The sequence below is a fragment of the Homo sapiens genome, chromosome 3 (assembly GCF_000001405.40).
Source record: "Homo sapiens chromosome 3, GRCh38.p14 Primary Assembly".
NCBI classification, from domain to species: domain Eukaryota; kingdom Metazoa; phylum Chordata; class Mammalia; order Primates; family Hominidae; genus Homo; species Homo sapiens.
Genome location: NC_000003.12, coordinates 30873493 through 30896027, shown reverse-complemented (window position 1 = coordinate 30896027; position 22535 = coordinate 30873493). Strand labels below are relative to the sequence as shown.

Below are 22535 nucleotides of genomic sequence, written 5' to 3'. Positions count from 1 at the left end.
TAATCAACACACGACTGCACTTCTTTCAGTATATTTTAATAGAGTTACAGAAGATTAACTCCTAGTGTTATTTACGTTTTCATCACTAGATCTCAGTGATATTTCTGCTGAGACTGGATACAAAAGAGTATGTGGGGTTCTCAGAAACTTACACAGTCTTTCTGAAATTTATCTGCAGGGTCTTGACTTTAGTAACTCTGGTTGTTGGTATATTAGAAATAATCTATTCTTATTTGGAAGAAAGGTCTGCCCTGTCTTCACCGATGTGAACTATAATTATGCTTGCCAGAGGAAAAAAATTCACCTGCTAAGAAGTGACACTAGGCATTTGCAAATGTAAAGCGATTTTCTTTTTTTTAGTCCATTGAGATCTGGATTACAAATGCAGCTCCGTAAATGTAGTTGTCATAAATGTGCTTTGAAATGGCATTAACTGATTGTTTCTATCCCATCGACAGCCTCAGTTAAAAGCTCCTAAGGGAATTTAACTTTAAACATAAAGCCTGTTGGAGGAATGACAAAAATGCCGCATTCACTAATTAAATTTAAATTTACAATAGGAACGTGACTGAAACTAAAATTCCAAGGGCTTGCTGGAGCAAACACAGGGAGAAAATTTTACTCTAAAGACTAGACAAATATTGAGCCTTTTACAACATTTCACCTTTTACCACCTCCTTTTGCTCATTACTATAAGGTAACAACATGCCCAGCACCCCCTACCATTTCCCTTTTCCAAACTTAAAATTTTGCAGAGGCACACACACACACACACACACAAAGTTGAAAGTGGACTGGGAAAAGGGATTCACTTATAGAACTCTTAAATGTCAGGGCAGAGCTGAATGAATGGGTAGTGGATCCTGTTCACCACAGCTGCCCTAAAATAGGTTCCTTCAGCTGATGACCTGGTGCAGGCATCATATTTAGCCTGGGGCTCCTCCGGCTGGATGAGGCTCTGCGAAGTGGTTACTCCAAAGAACTGGACGCTGGAAAGGTCACCAGGCCAAGAGCCACTTATCTGCCTTGCCCAGCCTGTATCCTAGGAGGGCTGGTAGGGTGCTCCCTGCCTTTTCCTACCCAAATTACCCACGCTCCTACACACTTCCCCACCCCTTCCCCGCAAAGGCGGAGAGACCCTGGCCCTGGGTCAAGCCTGTGGCAAAGCAGCCAGCAGCGCTCCAAATATTAACAGAGAGCCGCGGGCTGCAAAAGCCTGGCACTGGAGCCTTGGATAGCAAAGTGAAAGGAGCACGGAGCGCGCGCGTCCTCGTCCCTCCGTTTGCACTGGTGTTCTCTCCGCGGCTGCCTGGTGCACCTGCGGGTCCCCCGGGGGGCGCTGCCTCGGCAACCACCGTCGCCGCCCAGACTGCGGGAGCCGCGCCCGGGGCAGCCTGGAGTGGGGGAGCGGAGATGAGCAGCGACTCGGACCGCCAGTGTCCTGTGGACGGTAACGACTCAGCGCGGCTGCGGTTTTTGTCCTTAACCTCCCCTGTCTGGGTTTTAATCTCCTTATTTTTGACCTGGGGACTAGAAGTTTGGTTATTTCTTTGTAAAGCGGCTGGGGTGGGTAGAAAGTCCCCATCTTCATGGATTTTTTCTCCGTTTTCCGTACCTAAAAGGTTATTATTTAGAATCAAATGAGTTAACTTTTATAAAGCGCGAAGAACCGCGCCTAAGACATAACGGGCGTTTGTTAAATAAATGCGTATTGAGATTTTACTGCTTGGCGAACTGCCGCATGTTTCCCTAGTTAGATTGGAAGTACCTGCCCTGTAAAAAAGATGATTTTGCTTCTTTCTGGGGGACAAGGACAGCATCATCTCAGTCCTTTCACCTGCAGCCAGCTATTCTATAAACAGGGGTTAAAAGAGGCCACCGTCATCTCAGAGTAGGTGATGCCCTTAATGTTCTTTGGTTCAGAGCTGCAGATTGAGAACGGGGACCTTAGTTGTTTAAAGATCGTATGCAGCAGAATTCCTCCAAACTGTCTTTATAACTCAGGTGCCACTTAGTTCTATTTCTGTAAAATAATAGTTGCTGCTTCTTTGAAAGGTTATCATTATTGTTATTCAGGTATTCTCACTAACTAGTTGTTGGCGTTTTAGGAGTGATCCTCCAGGAATAACTCCTCTTTGTATCAATAACTTTTTTGAATTGTGCTGAACACAGCTTAATGAAGTCTCAAAGTTGAAGCTCTCTGGGGGCATCTGCTCAACAGGTAGGTCAGGTAACTCAGCTGGGGTCCCCTGCGGATCAGTCATTTTCAGGGCTGGGAATTTTGCACAGTAGTTGGTGAGGCAGAAACCATTTGGCTGAAACAAATATTTCACCTTTTAATGTCCCAGGGAGAGTTTCCAGCATAACTGTCCTGACGCTCTTTTAAAAAAACTTTAAAACTTGTACTATCATTATTATTTTTATATATGGCATAATAAAACCTGGCACTTAGAAGTAGAAAGTTAGAATAGTGGTTACCAGAGGCTGGGGAGCGGAGAGGGCTGTAGAAAGGTAGGTCAATGGGTATAAAGCTGCAGTTAGTAAGAATAAATTCCAGTGTTGTATTGCACAGTAGGGTGAATATAGTTAATGATAATGTATATTTCAAAAAAGCTAGAAGAGAGGATTTCAGTGTTCTCACCACCAAGAAATGACAGGTGTATGGTAATTACCCTGATTTGGTCATTAAACAATGTATGTATGTGTTGAAGCATCATATTGTAGCCCATAAACAGGTACAATTATGATGTCTCAATTAAAAACAATAAAACTTAAAAAGAAGAAAAACAACTGACACTGAAAACTGCTAAGGCATTTTGTCAGACTCTTAATGTTTCTAGGGTCAGCACATACTTATTTAAATATTTGGTTAGGCTGGGCATGATGGCTCACGCCTATAATCCCAGCACTTTGGGAGGCCGAGGTGGGCAGATCGCTTGAGGTCAGGAGTTTGAGACCAGCCTGGCCAACATGGTGAAACCCCATCTCTACTAAAAATACAAAAAATTAGCCGGGCGTGCTGGTGGGTGCCTGTAATCCAGTACTCGAGAGGCTGAGGCAGGAGAATCGCTTGAACCTGGGAGGCGGAGCCTGCAGTGAGCCAAGATTCGCGCCACTGTACTCCAGCCTAGGTGACAGAGCAAGACTCTGTCTCAAAAAATAAATAAATAAAATAAATATTTGGCTATTTGAGAATGGATTGAAAAGTATAGATTATTTAGGAATCCTAATAATACAGGAGACTTCTTTATGTGAAGGAAGGATGGTTAAAATAGTTTTATCTGACCTTAACCCTGCTGTTTTGTTTTTAACCTTAATTCTTGTTTTAAAGCCATATAGCATAGTCTTCAGAAATATGATAGAAACTTTTAAAAACAGTAACAAAAAAACCAAGGTATCTACTTTTCTTAGATTAAGCATGTACCTTGTAACAAAGCATGTCTGTAGCTTGTGGTGGCTTTGGTAGCTGAATATATGATTTATAAATAGTAAAGTTCAAAGTTTGCCTTAAATCTGAATTTCTGAAAACACCACAATTCTTGGGTTGCTCTCTGGTTATCCTTGAGCAGGTGATAAGGCAGCAACACACCTAATTATGCCAAATGCTTGCTATGGTATCTTAAAAGAGTACAAGACAACTATCTGTCAGACTAAGTAATCCTCCAAGTATGTATGATGAGATCCTGAAGGTAACATTGAATTCGTATGTTAAATGATATCTTGTCTTAAATTCTCTTGTTGAATATCTGTTACAGACCTATACATTACGGAAGAATACCATAGGGAATCCTGTTGCAGATAAAGAATTCTTATTCTGCTCTTTATGCTTTGATATCTTTTATGATCTTGCTGTAGTACATGCAAGAGAGGTTTAAGCAATTAGTTATATCAGATTCAAATTTTCATTATATTAAAAATGAATGATTCTTCAGACTCAAATAATGTTTTTTCTCTATCACTTGAAATAATAGCACAACTTTCCATTCTTCCTGAATAGCTTTGATTCTTGTTAAAACATGTTTAAAAGAGAAGTAAAACTCTAGTTTTCATGGTGGGTCAAAAATTTGTTGTTGAAATGCTGGCTTTTATATACCATTATAAGACTGGCATGTTGTAATAAAATTGAAATCATGACATTTGGGACCAAAATTTCTGTATTTTTTTTTTACCCCACTCTAGATTTTCTCTTTTTCTCTGTGACTTTTTCATTTTTTGTTTATTTCTTATCATTTAAATGAAACCCCCAACAGGCAAAATTCATCACTGGGTGCATGGTCCCTACTATTGCTGTGCCGAACTACAAATACCATCTTATGTAACCTTCGTTAACAAGTCAATGGGGATACTATTATGATCTGCTTTTTATTTTTTTTTTTATTTTAAGGAAACCAAGTCTTGGAGAGGGTAAAGATCAGCTCTGGGCGTTAAACCCAGGGCTCTCACTCCAGAGTCCCGCACCCCTACACTCCTAACACCTAATCCCTGGCCCTGGCCTATGTTACAGAATATGGGCCAGTGACCTGGAACAGCCTCCTTTGCCTGCCTCTGCTGGGACCACAGGAAGAATGCTGGAGAAGACCCTGAGATGTGTGTGGCTTTAAGTTCCTTGAAATGACAGTAGCATTGTTTCCTCTTTGAGTGGGAAGGATGGGGAGAAAAGCTGTCAGTTTTGGGAGGTTCGCACTCATGGTAGGGCTGGATGTGGCAGTCCTGAGGAGGCAGCTCACTGCCCCTCTCTCAGGGGCATGTATATGTGCTCTGCTGTTTGGTTGCTAAGGATCAAAGCAGCTTGGCTCTGAGGGAAAAGGGCAGCATCCCAAGGGATGAACTCTCTATAACAGCCCTTCTCTTGGGGTAGGTTTACTGATTCTGTTCCTCTCAGATCATGACAGATGAATCCATTTTATAAGGCAGTACCCTGGGAGCAGGCAGACTCACCACAGCTGTTCTCTTGTTGGTAACCACAGGAAGGAAGGAAGGAAGGAAGGAAGGAAGAATGCAAAGTAAATACTCTAGCCGACAGCCTGTTCAGATTGGGTCTCTGGATACCAGATTTAACCTCTGTGAGCCTCAGTTTGTTAATTTGTAAGGTAGGGATAAAAATATCTACTGTTTAGGATTATCATGAAGATTAGGAATAATATGCACAATGCATGGCAGGTAGTAGGTTATAGACTTATTATGTTCAGAAAATTGTATGTGAAAGTTAATGAGGTTATTGAAATGTGTTAAGCACCATGTGATTTTACAGGAAGAGCCCATGGTGATGTTCACTCAACTCCACAATGCTACCAAGCACAATCTCATATTCACCTATTGATGAAGAATATCCACTAGCTGCATGATTACCCCACACTCTATACATTTGGTCTGCTGCTGAGTCTTTGTAATTTGGGCTTTCAGTTTTAGGAAAGAATGAGTAGTTAATTTACATATTAAAACAGGAGAATGAATTAAGAGTCCAGGTGATTCATAGGGAGGCGATTTTCAGAAAGGATTTTGGTCACTGGCATAATGGAGTTACCACCACAGATGTTTCAAGATTTTTATCTCTGTTCACTGGTTTTTCTAATGTGTTTGGTAAAGGCTGTATTGCCCATATCATCATTCTTTTTTACATGCTTGTAATTCTATATATCTATTTCTTCCCTGATGTCTATGAGGGTATGGAACACATCTGTCTATTTACTGCATCCCCAGCATCTAGCAAAGTGCCTGGCACATAATAGGTACATATATTTAACATGTGTTTGTTCAGTAAACTCATACATGAATGATTTAGAGTGACAAGAATCATGACAATGCATGATTCCCGAAATCTTAAGTTCTTTTCATTTTTGCATTTAAATCTTAAGTTTATATTCACCTTTGCCTCCTTGAAGCTGTTTGTAATAGTAAAAATTAGTAACCATTTACATATCAAACAAAGAGGCATTGTTTGGAACATCTAAATATCTAATAGCTGGATGGCTAAAATAAATTATGGTAGAGTATAGAATACTATGTGAATGCATTTCATGTTTGGACAATGACTACACATTGCAAGAGGTTCTAGGTGGCTAGATAGCAAAGAATAGGTGTTGTCTCTAGGTAGATGGGATTGTGAATATTCCTTAAATTCTTTTGATTATATTTCTGATTCTTATGTAGGAATTTGCATTGCTTTTACAAGGAGGGAATGCAGTATAAGAAATATAAACTATGTATATTATAAGATCACTTATACTGTACCACCTGTCACTGGGCACTTAAGGTTGTCTTCTCAGCTAATTTTCTAAATTTGCCCTCCTCTAACTCTTTTTGAACATTTCAGTAGTTTCCAACCTCTCAGCATTCCAAAATTGCATAATTGAGTTAAAAGAGATGCGTGATTTAAAAAGAAACTCAAAGTAGGAAAAAAAAAGTTAACTGGAATCCAGTGACTAAGAATATTAATTTTTCAGCATGTTGCCACGTTAAATACATTGCTTTGCTGTAAGTCATGGTTAACTTTTGGTCTCATTTCTGCTTTTGGCTTTTGCTTTGTTATGTATACATTTTCTGACAGTTCACGAATACCTCCTGTGTAAGTGTTCCCTAATTGTTTTGCACGTGTGCTTGAGGTGTTTGCAAGGTGGCCACCATTGAATATCATTTCTTTGTCTGCAAAGGCAGCTCCAGGAACGAGAAACTTTGTAAAGTAAGATGGCTTCTGATATGGTTTGGCTGTGTCCCCACCCAAATCTCATCTTGAATTGTAGTTCCCATAATCCACACATCATGGGAGGGACTCAGTGGTTTTATAAAGGGCAGTTCCACTGCACACGCTGTCTTGCCTCCCACCATGTAAAACATGCCTTTGGTCTTCCTTTGCCTCCCGCCATGATTGTAAGGCTTCCCCAGCCATGTGGAACTGTGAGTCCATTAATCCTCTTTTTTTTTTTTTTTTTTTTTTTTTTTTTTTATAGATTACCGAGTCTTCGGTATTTCTTCATAGCAGTATGAAAATGTACTAATACAACTTTTCTCTGTTTTTAAATTAACATTTGCGAATAGAGGTATGAATGAGTAAACTTTTAATATTATACATTTATATATATTGCAAAAATTTTACTGTTGGTTCCGCACTGTTTCTGGGAACATATGACATTGTTTTCTTTCTAACATCTGGTTGCCTCTTTGGTTTTCTGACAGAAGTGGAATTCAGGGTCCCTTTTTCCAGGATCCACCAGCCACATTACTTTTCATGTAGGGAACTCTTTTTCAGTCTTAAAGGAAAGCCCTACTTCATTTTTAATATCTTCCCTCATAGGCACTCTGATAAACTTGTTGAGTGCCCTTGAGACTGTCTCCTTGTTGTTATGCAGCCCTAATATACTCCTTCTCTTGAAGAAAGAATAAGAAGTTCTAATGAGAAGTCCTAATCTCTTGATTTGAAGGCAGTACCCCTATTGCGTCCCACTTGGGGATAATAGGTATGGAATGGGAAAAATCCTGAAAAAAATGTCTCAGAATCTGTCCCTACTAAATCTGCTGCTGACACTCAGGGATTTTGGAACACCCCTCTTCTCTCTCCTTCCCACTTGGCTTTCACTATGAGCTTCTGAGGATTCCTGAGGGTCTCCGCAACTCCACGATGGTGATTCTGTTTTCTGTTTATTAAACTTTTTTGAATTATGAGGTATGCACACATAGAACACCCAAATATTATTTTGTACACTCGTAACCACCACCCAGATGAGGAAATATAATTTTGCCATTGTCTAAGAAGGCTCTTCTATGTGCCCCATTCCCAGAGCTCTTTTCTCCCCTATAAGTAACCAGCATCCTGATTTTGATAGTACAGTTGGCCCTTCCTAGCTGCAGTTTCTGCATCTGCATATTTAACAAACTGCAGAAGGAAAATATTTTAAAAAAATAGAAATAAAAAACAAAAAATAACGCAAAAACAATACAGTATAACAACTACTTACATAACACTTACATCGTATTAGGTGTTATAAATAATCTTGAGATGATTTACAATATACAGGAGGATGTGCTTAGGTTATATGCAAATATTATACCCTTTCACGTAAGGGACTTGAGCAGCCTCGGGTTTTGGTATCCATAGGGGACCTGAAACCAATCCCCTGTGAACACCAAGCATTGACTGTCATTACTTTCTTGCATTTTTAAAATAGTTTTACCATTCATATATGCATTGCTAGTTATAACAATTTAGTTTTACCATTTAGAAACTATGATATGTCTTTTTAATGTATAGATTCTCTCTTTCTTTTCTATTCTTAAAATTTACCTGTTGAAGAACCAGGGCCATTCAGCTTGTAAAATTGACAATCTGGATTTCACTACTTTTGTGCTCACGGTTCAACATTTTTCCTGAAGACTGCCTCTTAGTCTCTTTTCTCTTGCTTATAACAAAATAATTCATAAAAAAAATAGGAACTTATTTCTTACAGTTCTGGAGGCTGGGAAGTCCAAGGTCAAGTGGGTGCATCTAGTGAGAACCTTCTTGCTTGTGGGGATTCTTTTCAGTATCCCAAGGTGGTGCAGGGCATTACATGGCGAAGGGGCTGAGAGTGCTAATGCACAAACTTAGGTCTCTTTTCCTCTTCTTATAAAGCTACCAGGTTCCCTTCCTATGATAACCCATTAATTCATTAACTCAATAATCTATAAATGCTTTCTCAAAGAGCCAGAGGCTTCACAATCCAATTACCTCTTAAAGGCCCCACCTCTTAGTACTGCCACATTGGGAATTCAGTCTCAACATGAGTTTTGGAGGGGACATTCAAACCACAGCACCTTCTTTTTAACTCCAGTTTGTACAACCCTAGTGTGTCCTCCTTCTCAGTCCTTGACTGCATATGCTAAGTACTCTATTAAGTAACAGCTATAATGAGGTGAGGTGACACACCATGTTGGAGTCCAGGCTCTACCAGTTACTGAAGTCTAGGCACTGTGGGCACTGAACTATGTCTTTGGGCATGCTGCCCAAGTTCTGAGGTCGAGCTTCCTTATCTGTAACTAGTAACAGAGCCTGCCTCCCAGAGTAGTGGTGAAGATGACATGAGATGATACCTGTAAACACTTAGCACTGGCTCATTCTGTACGTGCTGCTGTTATTATGATTATCATTATTAAGTAGAAAGAAGTAGCAGACTGCATTTGTGACCGAAGCTCCAATGTACCCTATCAACTCCATTGTCTGTGGTTTTGTCCACTGTCTATCTTATGCTGCCTGCCAGGAGCTCTAGGCTGTGACCTTGCACACAACAATATAGATTGGGACCCAGAAGCTCCATTCAGGCTGGATGCTGCAAAGCAATCAGAATTGTCTAGTCTTCTCTGTATAACGCAGTTGTGGTGAGCAAACAGTTACAACATGAATTATTAGCATAAAGCTAACCCCATGCTGAGAAGTCATTCTACCTCAACAGGCTCCAACAGCACTGGTTAGGTCAGAGTCCCCTCCTTCAATGATGCCCCTTTGTCAGACATTGCTATTCCACCCCACTCCCCATCCCTTGGCCTTGCCCTGTCCTCTTCTCACCAGCCCAAGTTTGCTCTTGTTGTGTCCATAGTTTGTTCTTTATAATGCAAAACTGCACAGTTACTCATGGGGGACGGTCTTGCTTACTTCTGCAGAAACTATGGATACTGTAAAAATTAGTGGTGAGAAATCAACACCTTGTCTTTTGGTGTGCAGAAATGGCTCCATATTGCTTCTTCTTTTGGATATATCTAGTCCTCTTGACTACAGTACATTCCTCAATCTAATCCTCAAATTCCAGAAAAAAGCATGAAGTCATTTTATCTATTGGGCTTCTTATTAGGCGATCAAGTACAGTTCTTGTATTAGCTTCATGAACCATTATAATGATTGGTAAAAATTGATGTTGTCATTTACCAATTAGTTCAAATATTAGTAATTTTCATTGTGATGCATTATGGGGCAGTTTTGCAAACTTTTATATTTTAAGCCTTTTGTTGATGTGTATTTAGAATTTTTCAAATTTATTGCTAATCTGTTTTTGATCTCTTTATTAATTTTCTGGCAATTATTTCTTTTCTCTGCCAATAGTAAAATATTCATATTCATTAAATTGCTTAGAAATAAATATTAGTTTAAAAACATAGGCTGGGCACGGTGGCTCATGCCTATAGCTCCAGTACTTCGGGAGGACAAAGTAGGAGGATCACTTGAGATCAGGAGTTCGAAACCAGCCTGGGCAGCATGGTGAGATCTCACCTCTATTAAAAGTAAATATATAAAATTTAATTTTATAAAAAATGTATAAAATAAAATTTAAAATAAAAATGTAAATGCTGTCTTATTTATAGTAGTTTGAAAGATAGTTTATATAGAAGTCTGTTTTGTTGAAAAATAATCATCCATTTATACATATGAAACTGGAATGGAAAATATTTACACCTAGGAATTAAAAGTAGTTGTGGGTGATTGGGTTGATAATAGAATTTTTCTTAGATTCATTCGCTTGTCTGTATTTTCTGTAATGAGTTTGTATTGTTTCTGTCAAAAAGAAAACAAAACTTGGTGGGGATGAAGCTTTTGTTTTGCTTAAATGCTTTTCTCACTTACTTTAGGCCAGGCTTTTTAGCTTTATCCATCTGGTTTGGTTTTCATCATCTTATACAGGCATGAATGTCATTCTATTGTTTAAAAAATTCTTACATTGGAATCTAAAATGTTTTCTAATTAATCCTCTGTTGCTGGATACTTATTTTAACATCTTTAAATCATAGATAAGACAGAAGAAAAAAATAATTGGCTGGAAATTAATTAAAAATATAGAAGCAAAAAATGGAGGAACAGTGCAATTCTGGAAAAAGATTAATAATGTTCTAAGGCATAATGAGGAGTTAGAAATTTGCTAAGGAACACGCCAGAATTACTAATCCCAGGAAATCAGTGACTGGAAATACTTATTTTTACAAATGATCATCTTGATCAATTTATATTTGGTTAAGTTGGTATTGAACAAATACTAGGTGCTTGTCAGGAGAGCAAAGGGGAAAAACAAAGTTTGAACATTATTCTGATATAGACTGAGGCTTGGGTTCTGACTCTAATAGCAATGAGCCATCAGTTCACTGCCCCCATACGATAAAGGTGATAAGAAACAACACTGCTTACCTCCTAGGGTTTTGTGAGGGTTGATAGAGAATATATGTTATTAAGTACCTGGCATAATAAGTATTTTCTACCTTCCTCCCTCAATAAATATTTATCACATTGAATTATATGTATACATATGCATGAAAATCTCTGGGGAGTATGATTTTTAATAAAGATTAGTTTAAATATATCCTCCAAACCAAATAACAAATGCAATGTATAATGAGGAAGGGACACCTTTGACTTTTATCACTCGTAATATAGTGTAACTGAAAAAGGGCGGTATCAAAGATTCTTTCTGCTCAGAATGGAAACAGCACAGATAGAAAATATGATAGAAAAATAAGTGTAGGAGGTAAATAGATTAAGTTTTTTTGGCTACTGATGAAGTTATAGTGGTTGAGGTTGGTAACTTCCTGAACCTGTGCTCAGATTCCATCTCTCGTGGATTTAGGGAACTGAATTTGGTTCTGCTTCTGTTGCCACCACCTCTTTAAGGACTGTCCCTTCGACAGGTGCTGCAGACTTGCACAGGAAGGGAATCAGAGATCACCAATATGAGTTTTTGCCTGATGCTAATTTTTGAAAAGTATATCACAAAGTTCTCATGAAATGGGATTGTCTCAGGGAAGGCATCTTCCTTCCCCAGCTGGGCTTCATCTCAGGTCACCATATGCGGTTCAAATATTCTACTTAATGTTGTCTGATCTGTGACTACTGTGGCTGTTGCTTTTCAAGTTAGAGACGGACCGTAGAAAGTGTTGTCCTCACACCCACCAAGATCATATGGAATGCATCCCTCTCATTCCCTTCCTGTTCCTTATTGGCAGTGGAATAGCAGAATTTTGTAGACTAAGACGTGGAAGCATTTGGAGTTGGATGAGCAAATAGGATATTTAGAGTTGAAGGACTTAGACAAGTGGGATACCAGTTGTCTTTCCACAGCTCTCTCACTGCTAATCTCTTAAAAAGCCAAGTAATTAAAATTTTTATTTAAAAACTTAAAATATTTACAATAGCATAAAAAATAGTAACAAACCCAATGAAGGAGATTAAAGACTTATACACTAAAAACTACAAAATATTGCTAAAAGAAATTAAAGACACAAATAAATGAAGAGACATACTGTGTTCATGGATTAGAAAATTGTATTATTAAGACGTCCATGCTACCCAGAGCAATATACAGATTTAACACAATCTTTATCAAAACCCAAATGGCATTATTTTTGCAGAAATATAAAAATTTATCCTTAAATTCACATGGCATTTCAAGGAATCTGAAAAGCCAAAATGATTTTTAAAAGAAAAAGAAATTTAGAGGACTCACACATTCTGATTTGAAAACACTACAAAGCTACAGGAGTCAAGACTGTGGTACTAGCATAAAGACAGACGTATTGATAAATGGAATAGGATAGAGAAATCAGAAATAACCCCTCACATATACAGTCAAGTGATCTATGATAAAGGCTAGAAGACCACTCTATGGAGAAAGAACAGTCTCTTCAATAAATGGTGCTGGGAATACTGAATATCCACATGCAAAAGAATAAGATTGGATCTTTTTATTATACTGTATATAGAAATCAACTCAAAGTGGATTAAAGAAGTAGTGCAAGACCCAAAAATATAAAATTTCTATCAGGAAACAAAAAGAGAAAGCCTTATGACATTGGATTTGGCAATGATTTATTGGATATGACACCAAAGCACAGGCAACAAAAGCAAAAATAGACAAATGAGACTACATCACACGTAAAACCTTTTGTGCACCAAAAGACACAATCAACAGTGAAAAGGCAATCTATGGGATGAGAGAAAATATTCTCAAATAATACGTCGGATAATATTGTGAATAAAGAACTCCTAGAACTCAAAACAATTATATCACTCAACTTAAAAATGGGCAAAGTACTTGAAAAGACATTTCTTCAAAGATGATACACCAATAACCAACAAATGTACGCAAAGATGCTCACTATCACTAACATTAGAGAAATACAAACTGAAACCACACTATCACCTTACATCCATTAAGATGGCTACTATAAAAAAAAAACCAACCACCTGAAAATAACAAGTGCTGGAGAGTATGTGGGCAAACTGGAGCACTTGTACACTGTTAGAGACATTGTACAATGGTGTAACTGCTATGTAAAATAGCATTAAAATGAAAAATCAAAAAATAGAAATAGAACTACCATATCCAGCAATTCTACTTCTGAGTATCTACCTTAAAAATTGAAAACAGGGTAAAGAGATATTTGCACACCAATGTTCATAGAAGCACTATTCACGATAGTAAAGAGGTGGAAGCTACCCAAGTATCCATCATTGGATGAATGGATAAACAAAATGTAGTGTATACATACAATGGAATATTATTAAAAAGGGAGGAAATTCTGTCAGTGCTATGTAGATAAACCTTCATCACATTATGCAGAGTGAAGTCAGTCACAAAAAGACCAATACTATAACTCCATTTATGTGAGGTATTTAAAGTAGTAAAATTCACAGAAACAGAAAACAGGATGGTGATTTCCAGTGGATTGCGAGGGGGAAGGTGGAATTATTCAATGAGTATACAGTTTCAGTTTTAGAAGATGAAAATATTTTGAAGATCTGTTTCACAATGTGAAACATTGTTATATATGTCCAAATAAACAATGTGAATATACTTAACACTACTGAGCTGTACACTTAAAAATGGTTAAGATGGTAAATTTTATTATTCATGTTTTACCACAATAAAAAATACCTAATTAAAAAAAATAAATATTTTAAGGATAGAAAAGTGTGTAAAACTATTTAGAAACTTGTCAAACTGTCTTAGTCTATTTTGTGCTGCTATAACAGAATACCACAGAATGGGTAATTTATAATAAACAATTTTATTGGCTTACTGCTCTGGAGCTAAGAAGTCCAAGATTGAGGGGTCAACATCTGGCAAGCCTTCTTGCTCCATCATTCCATGATGGAAGGTAGACAGGCAAGACAGCAACAGGAGGCTACACTCTTGCCTTTGTAACAACTTCAACCCCCACCCATGAGGCTGGAGCCCTCATGACCTAATTACTTTTTATAGTATTTAAAGGTACCACCTTTTAATGCTGCTATAATAGCAATTAAATTTCAACATGAGTTTTTGGAGGAGACAAGCATTCAAACCATAGCAGTCCCTTAACAAATTTATCATTTTTTTGTTGTATTTTGACATTGCTAGACAGCACTGATCATAACGTAATATTTTCTAAAGAGTAGAGATGTGTCCAGTTGTTTGTCCCTTCATTGAACAATCTCAGATTGCTGTTCTTGAGTTCTTATATCTTTTTTTATACTGTTGCCATCTCCCTCATCAGGGTCTCCCATGAAGGTCAGTGATATTTTCTTCCTTCTCTTGAATTCCAGTAGCATCCTTAATCACCACTTGATGCTTTTGTGTATTGCATTTAACAAGCTTAGCCATTGTTTTGTCTTCTAGTTTTTTAGCCCAAAAAAGGTTGGAATTACATATAGTGTAATTTAGGTTGCCTCTGAAAATGTTAAGATCTACTATAAGAGTTTAAGTATCTGTTACTTTCACATTGTTCTAATTTTTGGCATTCTTCTGTATTCTTGCATATGTTCTAGTTATATGATTTTGTCAGATAGGAAGCTTGCATACAAAGTGTATGTAAATGAAAATATTTTTATGTAAATGTATACAAGCATAATTACAATTTATGCCCATGATTTGGAAAAGCTGATAATATTTTATTGCTCAAGAGATACACATATAAACAGAATTGTGAGGTAAGTCCCAGTTGAAAGGAATATTACAGCTTTCTACTCACTTAACTGCACTGGGAATGTGATTGATCTCTAACCCTTAGGGAAAAGGACAATGCCTATGCTTTCTTTCCTTACTTTCTCCATTTGCACTGCTCTCATAAGCAACACCAGTAAGAGTCCATAGTACAGCTGAAAAGGGGGTGGCCAATTATGTTTCACTCTTTTTTATACTGCATATAATTTTTTAGGAGCTTTCTTGAGGTCTAATTTATATTCCACAACATTCATCAATTTGAGTACAATTCCATTTTTAACAAATTTACAGTCATTTAATCCTCACCTCCATAAAATTTTAGAGTACAGTCATCCCTCAGAATCTGCAGGGAATTGGTTCCAGGACCTCCTGTGGATACCAAAATCCTCCACAAGATGCTCAATTCCTTTATATAAAATGGCATAGTATTTGCATATGTATTAGTCCATTCTCAAACTGCTATAAGGATATACCTGAGACTGGGTTACTTATAAAAGAAAGAGGTTTAATGGAATCACAATTCCACATGGCTGGGGAGGCCTCACAATCATGGCATAGGCAAAGAAGGAGCAAAGGCACATCTTACATGGCAGCAGGCAAGAGTGTGGGCAGGGGAACTGTCCTTTATAAAAACCATCAGATCTCATGAGACTTATTCACTATCATGAGAACAGCATGGGAAAAACCCACTCCCATGATTCAATTAATTCCCACCAGTTGCCTCCCATGACACATGGGGATTATGGGAACTACAGTTCAAGATGAGATTTGGGTGGGGACACAGCCAAACCATATCAGCATATAACCTGTGCACATCCTCCTGTATACGTAAATCATCTCTAGATTACTTACAATACTTAATGCAATGTAAATGATATGTAAATATTTACTGTATTTTAAAAATTGTATTTTTTATTGCACTGTCATTGTTGGTTTTTAAAAATATTTAATATCTTAAAATATTTATTGAATCCATAGATGTATAACTCAGAGGCAGAGGACTGTGTTTTCAGGAATGTATTTAAAAAATTACTGTGCTTTTCTTCTGCTGCCTTTATGAATACCTCCTTCCTTTATGCCAGCAGTGTCTGGCTGTGAAAGATTCTGATCTTTGTAAGTAGAATGCAAAGAGAAAGGCAGTTACTGTTTAGATTCAGGCAGTCAAAATAGGAGTTTCAAAGCAAAACAATAATTTTATCATTCCGACTATTGCCTTGGGCTTTCTACATTCTTTTATTTTCCCTTTAACTTAACCAATTTTGCCTAGAGAACAAAATTACAGAGTTTTTTTCCTGGTGCAGAAAAGATATTTTTGTGCACCTTCAATGGCTACCCATGAGGCTAGCATCAAGAAAAAGTAATATTTAATGCAGGCAAAGTCACGGAAAAATCTCCATTTCTGGCAGGAAGTGACAATGAGAAGAGAAAGAAGGATTAAGCAAGAGAGACGAGTGCAGAAATTCACATTCTTGATTTCTTATTACTTGGGATGGAAGCAGGGGTGGAGAGACAGTGGATGGTTATATGATAGTTTTATGGAAATATGGTAAGCAACAACATAGGCCTTTATCAGCTTCTCTTGGAGGAGATCACCTTGCAGACTTATCAAAGCCAAAGTGATGGCTCACTAAAGTAGGATAGAGAGGGAGAGCCTGTATTGATCTCTTCAAGGGGTGGAAATGATTCAGAAAAGCCTTTTTGTCCTCAGAGGAAGGTAGATTAATTGAGTACCCTTGGTCCTCCCAGTGGGCTTTCTCTGATGAGGATGAAGGCAAAAGCTATGGGATGCATTTTCTCTACTGGGGAGCCAAGGAAGGATGGGGCATAAGCCCAGAAATGTCTATACCATCACCAAAAGCTAAAGTGAGACCACCTCATTCAGAGAGAACCCCAGTCTCTGACTAACATGAGAGATAAGAAGCCATGAGTATGCATCCCACATGACAGCCAGGTATGAATGCTCTAAAGATGTAGACAAGTGAGATTGCCCAGGGACAAAGGTACCAGTCAGTACACACTGCAGTGATCCAAGGACTCCACCACTCTTCCTCCACTCTGAGGTTGAGTGAGACATTCTTTACTCCCCACATACCTAGAAGTCATCAAGAAAAGTATTCAGAGAAGTGGAAATCTGAGATATCAAACATGTTTACACAGTTAAACAGAACATTGCCTAAACGAACTGTTTAACTTACTATATATCATGTTTTAACCAGATTGGACTAAATAAAATAAATGTTGTTACCTTTTTTTCAGCAATGTGGGCTCATGTGGAAGACAGGATTAATTAAAGAACATAATAAGGATACTATATTTTCTCTATATACCCTAGTGTCATAAAAATGATAGCACCACAATACGCTTAAAACAAATGGAATTGACTGCTTCAGCTAGTGCCACTGCCACTGGCACTGTCTTTGGATAAGTGCAGTTGCCAAAGGTAAATATGTTCAAAGCTGGGTCTCAGGCCTCTGAGTGGAGTGTCCTGTGATAAGTAAGTCTCAGTAGATAAGTTATGCATTTTATGAAGAGGGAAAAGAGATGGGTATCAAATGTCTATCAGTCATATTATAATTTAAGCCAAAGTATTCATGCATTCATTCCAGCCTGTTTGTTTAAGGAAAATAATTTACAGAGATACTTCAGTTAAAATTGCATTTCTATACCTAAAGTAGGCCTCATGGGCCAAAAAGACTACTTGCTCATGTTCTCCATCACTTCCTTCCCTGAGCTACTTCCATGAAGGTCCTGGACGATTTTAGAAATTTATGGTTCTGAAGAGCACTAATAAGGACCACTTTTAGAAATGGTAGAATGTGATCTTTGTTAGTTACGTAAATAAGAACTTAATTTTAAAATTAGGCTTTAGCCATAGAATCATTGTTAGAGTGACAAGGTGTTTTGTAGAGCATTATTTAACTGAGAGTATCATTTAACCAGAAAGGTTAAAGTACTTGCAGCCACAGAGCTACTTGGGGGCCAGAGTCAGGGCTAAAACTCTCACCCCAAACTCCAGAGGGTTCCCTTTTGTGCATATCACCAGGACAGGTAATTAAAAGTAAGAAACAAAACCTGTAAGACACTGATCAAATCATACTTGGAATTTATGTGTGTTTCTACCAGCATCTGAGATTTTTTGGTGTAGTGCTAATAATTTCAGCATTCAGGACCTTCTTCATGTTAAATATTGTAGAGCAACTATCTAAATTACTTGATGACAGCAAGCCACTGTTAAATATTAAAATCTATTATGGTTAAATATTAAAATCTATATGGTAATACTACACCATTAACCATCTTAAATTTCCACACTTCAGATTTTGCCCCTTTAACAGACAAAAGTCAAATCAAAGTCCTTCCTTTGCTGATGTTGTTAGCTGATAAGACTATTCCCATTTCAGCACTCTGTATGCTGTGTTGTTTGATCTTTTAATACTTTGTGTTGACTTACAAAATCAATAGAGACTTAGTTGGTATTTTATGATGTATCTGATTTTTCAGATGCTATGTGGGCCGAAAAATATACCCAAGCAATGTATTTCCTTCATATGCATTTTCATCATGGTATATTCTGTCATGACACTCAGTTTTATTTCAGTACCTAATTTGTATGATGCAGTGATAGAGGATAAAGAAAACTTATGAAAAATTGGATTCCCTAATATTAGTCAGTGGCCTTATTTTTCAAGTTGATGGCACAAAAAAGAGAATTTTAGAAAGTAATTGCGGAACATAAGTTTGATGACAGTTTTGCCCAAAATTGTTCAATACAATATGTCAGCTTAGCATTTAATTGTTCTTTTATTGTTTCATGTGTGTTAGTTCAATCTTTCTGGTGAGAGAGGCTGCATAGATTCATGGAAAGAGAAGAGATGTTACAATTGATCATAATTTGAATATCAGCGCTGCTATTTACTATATCAGCTATGTGACCTCCATAGAGTTAACTAACCTCTCTGATCCTCATATTTCCATATTTGTAGAACTGGGTATACTTGCCTTCTAGGGTGCTATGAATATTTGTCCAAAAACGTGTAATATAAGTGCCTAGTACAGTGTCTTTCTGGTCCATTGGGATTCAAAAAATAATAGGTATTTGTTAGATTTTTCAGAATCAGACTCTGAATCAAGAATTAGAGTGTGGTTAGTTAGTTTGTAAGGTGATTTCAGGGAGACAGCCAATAGAGGATGCATAATAAAGTAAGGTATTTCTCACTGTGGGTAACTAAAGCTTAATCCTGCTGGGTAACTCTGGGTGTTAATGAAGAAGACAGACATTAGTGTTACCACATGTGAAGAACAAGAAAGTTGGCTATTAATACATCAGTTTCTATCACTTATTGGTTGAAGGATGCTGAGCTATGGATATTTATTTTTTAGATCTTCACACTTGGCATGTAAGTGGGCAAGAGTAGGTTCTGACCAAAATAGGCTGCAGGCAAAAATATGAGATGCTAACATTTGGAAATTAGAGAGCCTGTGCATGGAAGAGACACCTGAAGAAACACTCTACTCCGTTTCTGTTATTTTTTCAATTGATGAACTTTTGTTTTCTTGGCTCCCCATGCAGAGGCATGCTGAAACCACCTCATACTTGTTCATTACAAGTGTTAAATATTCAGAAATGTTGTGAGCCAGTTTTAAAATTGGCCCTGAAATTAGCCATGATCGGCGTCTTTACACCATAGAAATAGGCGAATGCTACCAATCAGAGCCTTTTCTTCAGAAACCAATTTATCAGTACACATTACTGTCCCTATCCCATCTCTTTCCATAAATGGAAAATAGGGGTTACAATCATAGGTTTGAGAATCATATAGACCTATTTGAATTTGATCTCTGATACCTTCTAGCTGTGTAGCCTTGGGCAAGTTACTTAACTTCTCTCAGATTTAATATCCTCATTTATAAAACGGGGATGTTAGTATGTAACTTGCATGGCTGTTGTGAAGATTAAATACAGTAACATATTATATGTATAGAACATTATAGAATATGGAATGTATTATAGGAATTAGACCTTACACACAATTGTAGCAGGAACTGAAGAAAACATTCATAAGGGAGAATTGGAAATCAGAGAAAAGTCACGGATCAGCTTCCTGAGGAACTGGCAAGAATGGCCAAGTTGGAGCTTGTAGGAAAATCTGGTAATCCAGGCGTGTCCAATTGCCAAACTGTGATAGTGAAATGGGCTGGAGAAGCTTTTTCTTGTGTGTGAATGATATCTCTAGGATCAATAACCAAGCATCTAGATGAGAAGAGAGTGAGGATAAACTGCAATATGCTGGTATGTCTGTATCTACCCATCACGGCATTTGACTTCAGAGAGGCTGGGCCACTGCTTCACTTCTGCCAGAGTGTGGAGCCAAGGGCCACAGAGAATACTGGATTAGGAAACCACCCGAGAGGGCAAATCAGATCCTATTTAATATGTGAAGTATGTGCCCAGCGGGATTTCAGAACTGCTGTAAGACAGTGATTACCCTCTGCCTCCTATTCTTTCGTGAGAGTGTCTGCAGAAATTATCCTGGCCTGCATGACTATTGTATGTTGTGTGCGACATCTGATAACTTGTGTTTTTAGTTTAGGGGTCTCTGGACCAAGAACATAACTGAACAGTCTTGTCTGCCTATAGACAAGACACAGACCACGATATTCTGGACTTCAAGCCTAATTCTATAATGAGATAAGATTTTGGAAGGTCCTCATATGGGAATGAGGATATTTTGTGGATGAGAGGAATATGAATTTTGATCAGAGACTGGACTATGATAGATTGCAAAATTGGTTTCAGAATCCTTTCTTCCTAGTATGCTTACCACTTTGCAATGATGTGACAACTGCCTTCTGTCATCAAGAGGTGAGCTTTTTTTTTTTTTTTCTCTATATCCTTGAGTCTGGCTGCTTTTGCTACTTGCTTTGACCACTAGACAGCAGAAGTGATATTTATGACAAATCATCTGAGATCTCAAGAGGTGCTGTAGCTTTTGCCTTCACTGTCTTCAAAGCTGGTATTACTTTATGAGGAAGACAAGTCTTATCTCTTTGATAATAAAAGCCTACATAGAAAGACCCAGCCATCTCAATCTTCCTGGCTGAGCTGAGCTCTGAGCCAATGCACAGGTTGGATGCAGTTGTGTGAGTGAGCCCAGGCAAGACCAGAATTACCCCGAAGCAATTATGTACGTTGGTGCTGCTTTAAGCTACTAAATTTTGGGTTCCTTTTTTGGTACAACTATAGACAGCTGATATACCCTTCAAGCAGGTTTTTTTCTGCTTTACTTAACCAGAGTGAGTTTAGTTGTTTGTATTTTCAAAGAGTTGTTGTTTTGTATAAATGTGCTGCTGTTTACAAAGGACCTACAAAAACATGGCATAGAGTAAGCACTAAATAAATGCTAGCTACGATTATATGAAATAGGTTCTAGATGCTTACGAGTGGTGGAATGTAGATAACACTTAGTGGATCTGGTGAATCTTTAGAAGGGGTTACACAGGCTTCAAGCAATCTCTGTGTCATCAAACCTTGGTTCTCTCAAATTCAACATGAGGACATTTGCTAACTGATCTGTAAGTGCTTGTAAAGCTCTAAGATCCCAAAATCTTACACATAAATGGCCAAAAACATCCTTGGCCCATATCCTAGATGGTTCCAAACCCATCTCTCAGTGAGTTTCAGCTGAGGAATAACCCAGGCCAGTGTCACTATGATCTGTTAGGCAGTGTTCTGCGAGTACTTCATTTCTCAACATTACAGTAGCAGTGAGATGTGTGGGCATTCCTCAGGGCACCTGCATTTGCCACTCCAGCGGTACAATCTATAATGTAGTTTGTGTTACTGTGATGACTCCCAGGAAGCTACAATTTTTAGGACATTTGCTCCAATTTTATATAGAGGTGAAGCTGAATCTGTGTGGCATAAAGGGATGAGTTTCAGCCTCACCCTCTTCACTACCTACTTCACTAAGAAATTCAAGCTCTGGCCCCAGATTTGCAAACCCTACTCAGCAATGCATTTTTCTTGCAGGTAACAGTGTCCTCCCTCCCTAGAAGGCAGTTTGGACCATCTGTTTTAATTTAAATGTACCCCTTGGAAAGGTTTTACTGCCATTCCAATGAGCTTCTCAATATGTACTTTCCAATCACATTTAGTAACTCTAAAGGAATTTGGTAAGTACAGTTTTCTGTATCTGAAGGTGGCCACATGTGAATGTTACAACATGTGCATTGAGAAGCAAGAGAGCTGAGAGTAAGTGCCTCCTGTTCACCTAGAAAATGATTCACCAAAGCCCTAAGGAGGCAGAACCCTGGGCAAAGATAATCCCCATATCAGAGTAAATCAACAGATGATGCAAATGAGGCACCCATTTATAGCATTTATTTAAATTTTCATTTAAATTGCTGGTTAAATGGAATTCATTTAAAGTCCTGTAGTCAACACTTGAGCAAATTGGTTTTAAAACTATATATTAATTGTAACACATTGCAATTTAATACATACTTCTAAGATAATCGCTTATTGCTTTAGGAGTACAAAAATGTATCCAAATAGTTTAGTGTGGTTGATAAGACACAGAAAGCAATATGTTCTTCCTTGCCTTT

The 22535-nt window shown here is 37.9% G+C and overlaps 1 protein-coding gene across 3 annotated transcripts in view; it reads left to right on the top strand.

Moving 5' to 3' along the window:
• Positions 1-1366: 1366 nt before the first annotated feature.
• GADL1 (glutamate decarboxylase like 1) overlaps positions 1367-22535 on the top strand; it is a 168465-nt gene continuing 147296 nt past the window's right edge. For 2 of the 3 annotated variants that reach the window (NM_207359.3, XM_047448071.1), the window contains exon 1: positions 1367-1450. In NM_207359.3, coding sequence (NP_997242.2) covers positions 1414-1450 — 37 coding nt within the window. In that variant the 5' untranslated portion in view covers positions 1367-1413. Of the gene's footprint in view, positions 1451-20311; positions 20794-22535 lie in introns of those variants that run through there. The other variant, XM_017006297.2, reaches the window with a different exon arrangement.